The 10,800-nt window shown below is 53.2% G+C and overlaps 1 protein-coding gene across 1 annotated transcript, besides 4 other annotated features; it reads left to right on the top strand.

Moving 5' to 3' along the window:
* On the top strand, positions 25 to 2,716 carry BST2 (bone marrow stromal cell antigen 2). Its single transcript, NM_004335.4, has 5 exons — positions 25 to 364; positions 1,218 to 1,284; positions 1,466 to 1,526; positions 1,831 to 1,975; positions 2,329 to 2,716. The coding sequence occupies exons 1-4, from the start codon at positions 80 to 82 to the stop codon at positions 1,958 to 1,960; spliced, it is 543 nt and encodes a 180-aa protein (NP_004326.1). The 5' UTR covers positions 25 to 79; the 3' UTR covers positions 1,961 to 1,975; positions 2,329 to 2,716.
* Positions 64 to 123: an enhancer, noted in NCBI's record as "active region_14267". NCBI's record gives its function as "activates an Ori minimal core promoter by ATAC-STARR-seq in GM12878 lymphoblastoid cells {active_cell/tissue: GM12878}" and the evidence as "EXISTENCE:reporter gene assay evidence [ECO:0000049][PMID:35858748]".
* Positions 108 to 846: an enhancer, noted in NCBI's record as "H3K27ac-H3K4me1 hESC enhancer chr19:17515618-17516356 (GRCh37/hg19 assembly coordinates)". NCBI's record gives its function as "activates a minimal SCP1, AML or CMV promoter by ChIP-STARR-seq in naive H9 embryonic stem cells {active_cell/tissue: H9 hESC(naive)}" and the evidence as "EXISTENCE:reporter gene assay evidence [ECO:0000049][PMID:30033119]".
* Positions 2,370 to 2,538: a silencer, noted in NCBI's record as "fragment chr19:17513926-17514094 (GRCh37/hg19 assembly coordinates)". NCBI's record gives its function as "represses an EF-1alpha promoter that drives an FKBP-Casp9 reporter gene in an ReSE screen in HepG2 liver carcinoma cells {active_cell/tissue: HepG2}" and the evidence as "EXISTENCE:reporter gene assay evidence [ECO:0000049][PMID:32094911]".
* Positions 6,115 to 6,679: a transcriptional cis regulatory region, noted in NCBI's record as "candidate enhancer chr19.2705 targeted for multiplex CRISPR interference". NCBI's record gives its function as "positively regulates BST2 gene expression with high confidence in K562 cells {active_cell/tissue: K562}" and the evidence as "EXISTENCE:mutant phenotype evidence [ECO:0000015][PMID:30612741]".

The raw sequence follows: 10,800 nt of genomic DNA, 5'->3' as shown, positions 1-10,800 counted from the left end.
ATGCTAATAAAGGGGTGGCCCGTAGAAGATTCCAGCACCCTCCCCTAACTCCAGGCCAGACTCTAAAGGGGAGATCTGGATGGCATCTACTTCGTATGACTATTGCAGAGTGCCCATGGAAGACGGGGATAAGCGCTGTAAGCTTCTGCTGGGGATAGGAATTCTGGTGCTCCTGATCATCGTGATTCTGGGGGTGCCCTTGATTATCTTCACCATCAAGGCCAACAGCGAGGCCTGCCGGGACGGCCTTCGGGCAGTGATGGAGTGTCGCAATGTCACCCATCTCCTGCAACAAGAGCTGACCGAGGCCCAGAAGGGCTTTCAGGATGTGGAGGCCCAGGCCGCCACCTGCAACCACACTGTGGTAAGCTCCTCAACTCCTTTGGATGGCCTAGTACTAGGCGGTGGGAGGGACAAGAATCTCTCCCCAGAAATCTGACCCAGGGTGGGTCTCCAGGGAGATGCAGGGGAGGTCCTGAAACTGCTCCTGGGCCCCCACATCAAGGGACCTAGGTTCCCCTACCAGGGTTTGTGGGCCCCTAACCCAGTCCAGGGCACTGGTGTAGGGGCAGGGTGTTAAAACTCTCCAGATCCCCCAAATCGGGGACCTCAGTATCCCCCTGGGACTTAGGTGAATTTATAAATTCTTTCCAGGGCACTGGTGTCGGGGGCCTTGAAACTCCTCGTGGGCACCAGTCCTGGGGGAGTAGAAATCCCTATTCAGGGTTGAAGGGGGACCTCACCAGACCCTGAAAAAGGGGGCTTTTGAAATTTTCACTTCATCCCTAAGAAACTGAAATATTCACCTGGGTCCTGATATGGGGGATCTTGAAACTCTCGCTGGGCATGTCACTTGGGCGGGGAAATCCCACTGCATTCTGGATTTGGTAGGGCCCTCTAACTTTTCTTGGGCCATTGCTCAGGCAATCTGGAAATGTCCACTAAACTTTGGTTATCGATAGCCTCCAAGTTTCCACGTGGGGTGGCCTCAAAACTCCCATTTTGAGGACCCACATGCTTATGGGTGGCCCTGGGAGAGTGTGTGGTTGTGGCTGTTCTTTAAGGTTGGAGACCATGGTGCAGAGAGGGTTGGAAGAAAACCTGAAAGGGGTTTGCATTTAAGCCCCTCTGTCCCCAGGACCTAGGGAGGAGGCCCAGGTCCCAGGGGCAGCAGCCAAACTCCCCAGGCCAAAACCCCAGATTCTAACTCTTCTTAGATGGCCCTAATGGCTTCCCTGGATGCAGAGAAGGCCCAAGGACAAAAGAAAGTGGAGGAGCTTGAGGGTGAGAAAGGGAGAAGGGAGAGGGCCGGGGAGGGGTGAGTCAGGTATGGAAGAGGGGGTGGGGGCAGGGAGACCAGGGCTGGAGGTTGGGGTAAGGGGGAGGTTCTGTCCCAGAGTGGAGCAGGGCCCCAGCATGGCCACATGCTGACCCGCCCCCTGTTTCTGTCCTCCCACCCTACCAGGAGAGATCACTACATTAAACCATAAGCTTCAGGACGCGTCTGCAGAGGTGGAGCGACTGAGGTCAGAGATAGCCTTCCCCCGCTACCCTCCACCTGCCACATTCCTCTCACCCCCACATCCCTAGCCCAAGACCCAGGATCTCCTTTGCTCCCAAAATCCCCATTGCCCCAAGGGATAAAGTTTGAGTCCCACAAAAGGATAACTTAGCCCCTAGGGTCACAGAGCCATGGGTGGCCGCTGTCCATTCCCTCCCCGGTGACTTGGATTGGGGCGGTGCGGGGGGAACTCCCGGGGGCGGTGGGCTTACAGGGAGGGCGGCAGGAGCCAGGACGAGCAGATGCCTGATTTGCCATCTGTACCGCAGAAGAGAAAACCAGGTCTTAAGCGTGAGAATCGCGGACAAGAAGTACTACCCCAGCTCCCAGGACTCCAGCTCCGCTGCGGCGCCCCAGCTGCTGATTGTGCTGCTGGGCCTCAGCGCTCTGCTGCAGTGAGATCCCAGGAAGCTGGTCAGTGAGGAGGGGGCGGCCCCGGGAGGGAGAAGAAAGCTGGGGAAGCGGGGCGGGGAAGCAGAGGCTCCGAAGTCTAGAGAGAGAGGCTGCAGGGGAAGGGACTGGGCGCAGAGGTGAGGGGCCTTGGGGAAGGAGGGAGAATCCAGTGAGAAGGATGCCCTGGATCGGGGACGGGCTGATAGCTGTATGGGGCGGGGCTATCAATGGGGGCGGGTCTATCGATGGAGGGGAGGGGCTTATGGATGGGTGGGGCGGGTCTAGCGATGGGGGCGGGGCTTGGGGCCGGGCTTGGAGCGGGGCCAGTGTCTGCTGCCTCCAGTCTGCCCTGAGTCCCTCTTCTGGTCCTTTAGGCACATCTTGGAAGGTCCGTCCTGCTCGGCTTTTCGCTTGAACATTCCCTTGATCTCATCAGTTCTGAGCGGGTCATGGGGCAACACGGTTAGCGGGGAGAGCACGGGGTAGCCGGAGAAGGGCCTCTGGAGCAGGTCTGGAGGGGCCATGGGGAAGTCCTGGGTGTGGGGACACAGTCGGGTTGACCCAGGGCTGTCTCCCTCCAGAGCCTCCCTCCGGACAATGAGTCCCCCCTCTTGTCTCCCACCCTGAGATTGGGCATGGGGTGCGGTGTGGGGGGCATGTGCTGCCTGTTGTTATGGGTTTTTTTTGCGGGGGGGGTTGCTTTTTTCTGGGGTCTTTGAGCTCCAAAAAATAAACACTTCCTTTGAGGGAGAGCACACCTGACTCTCGAGTTCCTGGAGTATCATCGTTTTAGTACCCAAGCGTTGGGGCCGCCCCTGCAGGTGAGAGTGGACACCCCGTTGACGATGACACCTCCCTTCCCTGCTCCAGGACGTTTTCAGGAGCCCACGGAGTTCGGGGAGGCACCACCCCAGTTCTTCCCAGCCCTTGTCTCTGCTGGGATCAACATAAGAACTATGCACCCTCATCAGGGCTCACCGTTTCCCAGGTGTTGTATTCTCATCTCCTCCCTAGAGCCTCTCCTGATTCCTGGGGATCCAGTGAGGAAACTGAGGCTGTAACTGAGAGTAACCTTGTCTTGCTTCCCTTCCCGCCTGCAGAAAATGCTGGGCTGGGATTTAAACTGGGATCTGTACACACACACAGGCCATGCATTGTCAGAATGTTTCCCCCTGCTTCATCCCCCAGATTCTCTCTCTCTCTCTCTTTTTTTTTTTTTTTTTTTTTTTTTTGAGACGGAGTTTCGCTCTTGTTTCCCAGGCTGGAGTGCGATGGCGCAGTCTCGGCTCACCGCAACCTCCGCCTCCCGGGTTCAAGCGATTCTCCTGCCTCAGCCTCCCAAGTAGCTGGGACTACAGGCTTGCGCCACCATGCCCGGCTAATTTTGTATTTTTAGTAAAGACGGGGTTTCTCCATGTTGGTCAGGCTAGTCTCGAACTCTCGACCCCAGGTGATCTGCCTGCCTTGGCCTCCCAAAGTGCTGGGATTACAGGCATGAGCCACCACCCCCGGCTCTTTTTTTTTTTTTTTTTTGAGACAGAGTTTTGCTCTGTCGCCCAGGCTGGAGTAGAGTGGCACGATCTTGGCTCACTGCAACTTCTGCCTTCCAGGTTCAAGTGATTCTCCTGCCTCAGCCTCCCGAGTAGCTGGGATTACAGTACTACACCACCACACCTGGCTAATTTTTGTATTTTTAGTGGAGACAGGGGTTTCATCATGTTGGCCAGGCTGGCCTCAAACTCCTGACCTCAAGGGATCTACCCACCTTGGGCTCCTAAAGTGCTGGGATTACAGGCATGAGCCATCACACCTGGCCCGATTCCCCAAACTCTTATTCATTCTGCAGTACCCAGCTCTGGGAACCCCTCCCCCAGAGAGTCTCTCTGCTTCTCCACAATTGAGGGCTGCAATCCCGACGGACCCTTCACCTACCTTATTCGATCCTCAAAGATGCCATAGTCCCTTCCTTCTCTGTTATCTTACTTCCTCCAAGTTCTCCCGGAATCCCGGCCATTGTCTCTGCAACTCCAACTCCTGTTTGTGGTAATGGAGCCAGGAGTCCCTTGTCCCAGATTTCTGTACTATCCTAAGGTCCCACAGTCCCCAGCCCAGACGGTCAGTGGGATTTAAAAAAAAAAAAAACCCTCTGGCCAGGCACAGTGGCTCACGCCTGTAATCCCAGAACTTTGGGAGGCCGAGGCAGGTGGATCACTTGAGCTCAGTTCAAGACCAACCTGGCCAACATGGTGAACCCCATCTCTACTAAAAATACAAAAAAATGGCTGGGCGTGGTGGTTCATGCCTGTAATCCCAGCACTTTGGGAGGCCAAGGTTGTTGGATCACAAGGTCAAGAGATCCAGACCATCCTGGCGAACACGGTGAAACCCTGTCTCTACTAAAAATACAAAAAATTAGCCTGGCGTGGTGGCATGCACCTGTAGTCCCAGTTACTCAGGAGGCTGAGGCACGAGAATCGCTTGAACCCGAGAGGCGGATGTTGCAGTGAGCCGAGATCCCGCCACTGCACTCCTGCCTGGGCAATAGAGCGAGACTCTGTCTCAAAATAAAAAAAATTAGCGGGGGGTGGTGGGTCGTGCCTATAGTCCCAGCTACACAGGAGGCTGAGGCAGGAAAATCGCTTGAACCCAGGAGGTGGAGGTTGCAGTGAGCTGAGATCACGCTACTGCACTCTAGCCTGGGCGACAGAGCAAGAGTCTGTCTCAAAAATAAATAAATAAATAAAACCAGGCCTCCACTTCCATGGTTCCTACTGCTGTCCCAGGGAAGGGTCCCCAAATACCTCCCCTGCCACAGACCCCCTGGCCCTCTTGCCCCCTCACTTCCCCTTGCTCACCACCTCCACCTTTACTGATCCCAAGTTCCTTTTTGCCTCAAGGCCTTTGCCCAAGCTCTGCCTGCTGCCTGGAGCACCCGTTCCTCACTCCCAAGGTCTAGGGCAGGGTCTCAGCCTCAGCAGCATTGGTGGTTTGGGCTGGATGGTTCTCTGGGTGGGGACCATCCTGTGCATTGTAGGATTTTGTTTTTTGTTTTGGGTTTTTTTTGTTTGTTTTTTTGAGATGGAGTCTCACTCTGTCTCCCAGGCTGGAGTGCAGTGGTGCGATTTCAGCTCACTGCAAACTCCGTCTCCCGGGTTCAAGTGATTATCCTGCCTCAGCCTCCCGAGTAGCTGGGATTACAGGCACCCGCCATCATGTCCGGCTAATTTTTGTATTTTTAGTAGAAACGGTGTTTCACCATGTTGTTCAGGCTGGTCTTGAACTCCTGACCTGAAGAAATCCACCCGCCTCGGCCTCCCAAAGTGCTGGAATTACAGACATGAGACACGGCGCCCAGCTGCATTGTAGGATATTAAACGGCATCCCTGGCCCCCACCCATAAATGCAAGTAACACCCTCCCAAGTTGTGACAATTAAAAATGTTTCCAGGCTGGGCATGGTGGCTCATGCCTGTAATCCCAGCACTTTGGGAGGTCGAAGGGGGAGGATTGCTTCAGCCCAGGAGGTCAAGACCAGCCTGGGCAACATAGGGAGACCTCCATCTCTACAAAAAATTTAATAATTAGCTGGGCATGGTGGCACACGCCTGTAGTCGCAGCTACTTGGGAGGCTGAGGCAGGAGGATCGCTTGAGCCTGGGATGTCAAGGCTGCAGTGAGCCAAGATGATGCAACTCCAGCCTGGGCAACAGAGCCAGACTCTGTCTCAAAAGAAAAAAAAAGTCTCTATATGTTGCTAAGTGTCCCCGGGAGCAGGGTGGGCCTTCACTTCTGTGGCCCTGGCTTGCAAAAAAGCCAAAGCCGCTTTGCAACTACTAAGCTATTTCATCCTCACCAACAGCCCCGGTGAGGCCTAGGGTAATTACTGGACTTTTTCAGGGGTTTTTGTTTTTTTTGTGGTTGGTTTGTTTGTTTTTTGAGATGGAGTCTTGCTCTGTTGCCCAGGCTGGAGTGCAATGGTGCGATCTCAGCTCATTGCAACCTCCACCTCCTGGATTCAAGTGATTCTCCTGCCTCAGCCTCCCAAGTAGCTGGGACTACAGGCGCCCACCACCACGCTGGGCTAATTTTTTTTGTATTTTTAGTAGAGACGGGGTGTCACCGTGTTAGCCAGGATGGTCTTGATCTCCTGACCTCGTGATCCGCCCGCCTCAGCCTCCCAAAGTGCTGGGATTACAGGCGTGAGCCACCATGCCTGGCCTTGTTCAGGGTTTCAAAGCTCGTTGGGCAATTAACCCTCCACATTCTGTGGATTTCCTTTTGCCCAGGAAACAAACGCTCCCCACGTGACCTCCTCCACTCACCACTCCCGACTTGGGCCATGGAAAGGTCCCCAGACTATGCTGCTGCTCCACCCACCCCCACCCCTACTCACACTCCCTCCCCCACTCTCCCCCCACAACCCCCACCCCCATCCTGCCTGGGCTGTATTTTGCTGATAAGATTAGCCCAATATTGTGGATTCAACTCCCAATCCCCCCACACAATGGCCTGGGTGTAAATTTCCCTACTTCCTAAAATGTCCCATCTTCCCTCCCTATTTTGTCCTTTTCCTGAGAGACCTGACTCCAAGGCTGTGACCCACCCAGGGGTTGAGAAGCTGACGGCTGTGGGGTTCTGCAGTCCCCAGTGGGAATTTGGCAGTGACCAGCCACTGCTGAGTGTCCCTGCTCTGGGACTCGACCTCTCTGAGCTCTGATTTCTTTCTTTTTTTTTTTTTGAGACAGGGCCTCTCTCTGTCACCCAGGCTTAAGTGCAGTGGTGCGACCTTGGATCACTGCAGCCTCAATCCCCTGGGCTCCAGCAATCCTCACACCTCAGCCTCTTGAGTAGCTGGGACCACAGGTATGCACCACCATGCCCAGCAAATTTTTTTTTTTTTTAAATAATAAAGACAGGATCTCACTATGTTGGCCAGGTTGATCTTGAATGCTTGGCCTTAAGTAATCCTCCTGCCTTGGCCTCCCAAAGTGCCAGGATTACAAGCGTGAGTGAGCCACGTCCACACGTCCAGACACAGCTCATTTCTTTTTCTTTTTTTTTTTTTTTAGACAGAGTTTCACTCTTGTCACCCAGGTTAGAGTGCAATGGCATGATCTCGGCTCACTGCAACCTCCCCTTCTTGGGTTCAAGCAATTCTCTTGCCTCAGCCTCCCGAGTAGCTGGGATTACAGATACCCACCACCATGCCTGGCTAAATTTTTTTTTTCTTTTTGAGACAGAGTCTCGCTTTGTCGCCCAGGCTGGTGTGCAGTGGCACGATCTCAGCTCAGCCTCCCGAGTAGCTGGGACTACAGATACCCGCCACCACACACAGCTAATTTTTGTATTTTTAGTAGAGATGGGGTTTCACCATGTTTGCCAGGCTGGTCTCAAACTCTTGATGTCGTGATCCACCCTCCTTGGCCTCCCAAAGTGCTGGGATTACAGGCATGAGCCATTGCGCTGGCCAATTTTTGTATTTTTAGTTAAGATGGGGTTTCACCCGTTGGCCAGGCTGGTCACAAACTCCTGACCTCAGGTGATCCACCTGCCTCGGCCTCCCAAAGTTCTGGGATTACAGGCATGAGCCACCATGCCCGGCCCTAATTTTTTTTATATTTTGTAGAGATGGGGTCTCACCATTTTGCCCAGGCTGATCTCAAACTCCTGGGCTCAAGTGATCCTCCCACCTCAGTCTCCCAAAGTGCTTGGGTTACAGATGTGAGCCACCATGCCAAGCCTGGTTAAAAGAGTTTTTTCCAGGGCAAAGTGTGAGGGCAGAGTCTATCCAGGGCCACAGGGACACCAAAGAATGAGGATGAGTGCCTCTCATTCAGGGAAAAGTGTGGATTGTTTGTTTGTTTGTTTGTTTGAGATGGAGTCTTGCTCTTGTCACCCAGGCTGGAGTGCAATGGCATGATCTCGACTCGCTGCAACCTCTGCCTCCCGGGTTCAAGCGATTCTCCGTCTCAGTCTCCCGAGTAGCTGGGATTACAGGTGCCCGCCATCACGCCCGGCTAATTTTTGTATTTTTGGTAGAGACAGGGTTTCGACATGTGGGTCAGGCTGGCCTCGAACTCCTGGCCTCGTGATTCGCCCGCCTCGGCCTCCCAAAGTGCTGGGATTACAGGCATGAGCCAGCTCGCCTGGCCTGGATCCTTTATAAAGCCACAAACAGAGGTGCTGAACAGAAATACATTTCCCATGCAAAGGCTAGAATACAGATAGGAGATTAGATTGGCTACTATTGACTATGTCCTAAGGGGGTTGCTTACACATTCTGTTGTAAAGAGGTGACAGTCACAAGGGTCTCTATCTCCAACAACATTTAGTCTATGCTTGAATGAAGACTAGGAAGTCTAGTTAATGTGGGATATCTCCACACAAGAAAGGCCAGGGGTTGGGAATGGGGTGGCTCGGTGCTCACAGTGGTGGTAATCCCAGCATTCAGGGAGGCCCAAGTTGGGGCATCGCTGGAGGCCCAGGTGGGGGCATCGCTTGAGCCCAGGAGGTCAAGGCTGCAGTGAGCCGTGATGGCACCACTGTACTCCAGCCTGGGTGACAGAGTGAGACCTGGTCTCAAAAAAAAAAGAAAAGAAAAAATAAAGAGGCCAGGCGTGGTGGCTCACCCCTGTAATCCCAGCACTTTGGGAGGCCGAGGTGGGCAGATCACTTGGGGCCATGAGTTCGAGACAGCCTGGCCAACATAGTGAAATCCCATCTCTACTAAAAATATAAAAGTTAGCTAGGTGTGTTGGCAGGTGCCTGTAATCCCAGCTACTTGGGAGGCTGAGGCAGGAGAATCTCTTGAACCTGGAAGGCAGAGGTTGCAGTGGGCTGAGATCGTGACATTGCACTCCAGCCTTGGCAACAGAGCAAGACGCCATCTCAAAAAAAAAAAAAATTAGCTAGGAGTGGTGGCAGGTGCCTGCAATCCCAGCTACTCAGGAGGCTGAGGCAGGAGAATTGCTTGAACCCAGGAGGCAGAGGTTGCAGTGAGCCAACATTGCATTCCAGCCTGGGCGACAGAGCAAGACTCCATCTCAAAAAAAAAAAAAAAAAAGAAAGAAAGAAAGAAAGAATGAATGAATGAATACAAGAAAAGAAAGAAAGGTTGATTCAGTTTCCAGGGCTTAACTATTACCCCTTGACATAATAAATCTGGAAGGTCCTAAAATTTTATTTTATTTTTTACACGCCTAAATTCTGGACCCACCAAAAAAGAAAACAATTACTTCTGATTCTTTGAGTTTTCATTAACTGAACTCATATCACAGGCAGAAAGACTAAAGTCTATCAACATACCTGAATAGACTTTTTTTTGTTTTTTGAGACATGGTCTCACTCTGTTGCCCAGGCTGGAGTGCAGTGGTGCGATCTCGGCTCACTGCAGCCTCCATTTCCTGGACTCAGGCGATACTTCTGCCTCAGCCTCCTGAGTAGCTAGGACTACAGGTGCACACCACCACATCAGGCTCATTTTTTTTTTTTTTTTTTGTAGCGATGGGGTCTCACCGTGTTACCCAGGCTGGTCTGAAACTCCCGGGCTAAAGTGATCCTCCCACCTCTGCCTCATTTCTCCTATTAATCTTCCTTTTGTGAGTTGATTTTTCAAGGAACCTTCAGAGGGTGAAGGGGAAGATCACCCAGTTTGATGGGAAAGGCGGGGGTGGGGGGGAGAATCAGTCACACGCATAAATATATAATTACTTTTTTTTTTTTTTGAGACAGAGTCTCACTCTGTCACCCAGGCTGGAGTGCAGTGGCACGATCTCTGCTCACTGCAACCTCCACCTCCCGAGTTCAAGAGATTATCCTGCCTCACCCTCCTGAGTAGCTGGGATTAAAGGCGCCAGCCACCACACCTGGCTAATTTTTTTTTTTTTTAAGACAGAGTCTTGCTCTTGTCGCCCAGGCTGGAGTGCAATGGCATGATTTCAGCTCACTGCAACCTCCCCCTCCTGGGTTGAACCCATTCTCCTGCCTCAGCCTCCCAGGTAGCTGGGATTACAGGCGCCCGCCACCACACCCGACTAATTTTTGTGTTTTTAAAAGAGATGAGGTTTCATCATGTTGGCCAGGCTGGTCTCGAACTCCTGACTTCAGGTGATCCACCCGCCTCGGCATCCCAAAGTGCTGGGATTACAGACGTGACCCATTGCGCCCGGCCTGCCATTACCTTTTTAATGTTAGGGCCCTAGGAGCTGATCAAAAGGAGGTAGTGTTGAAGAGGGGGACTTTCTGTAGGAGGGGACCTGTTAGCAGAGCAGCAATTAGCCAGGCAGAGGAGGAGAAGGTGTAAAGGCCCTGCGATGGGAATGCACTTGGTGGAAGAACCTTGGGGAGGCTACAGGAAGGAGTGAAAAGAAAATGACCTTAAAGGTGTGATCAGGTCCTTGAAGGTGTAAGGAGGGAGAGAAGGGGCAGGGGGAGATAGAGAAGGAGAAACAGGAAGAGGAGGGAGGAGGGGGAGGAGGGAGAGTAGGAGGAAGGAAGGGGAGGGGAGAACGGGTTGTATTCTAAGAGGGAAGGGGAGCCAGAGCCCAATTGTAATCACGTTGTAAGATCGCCCTCTGGCTGCCCAGTGGCGAGCAGGCGGGAAGACGGGGCCGGTCCACCCTGTTGTCTACCCTCCGGTCCTCTTCACAGCCGGCGTGGCAGCCTAAACTCTGCCAACCGTAAGTCAGTGGAGTATCCTCCCATCTCCCAATGCGGTTACCCCGTCAACAGAATGGGAACCACAGGCCGGATGCGGTGGCTCACGCCTTTAATCCCAGCACTTTGGGAGACCAAGGCGGGAGGATCGCTTGAGCCCAGGAGTTCAAGACCAGCCTGGGCAACATAGCGA

Source organism: Homo sapiens, chromosome 19 (assembly GCF_000001405.40).
Source record: "Homo sapiens chromosome 19, GRCh38.p14 Primary Assembly".
NCBI classification, from domain to species: Eukaryota; Metazoa; Chordata; class Mammalia; order Primates; family Hominidae; genus Homo; species Homo sapiens.
This window is presented reverse-complemented; position numbering and strand designations above follow the sequence as displayed.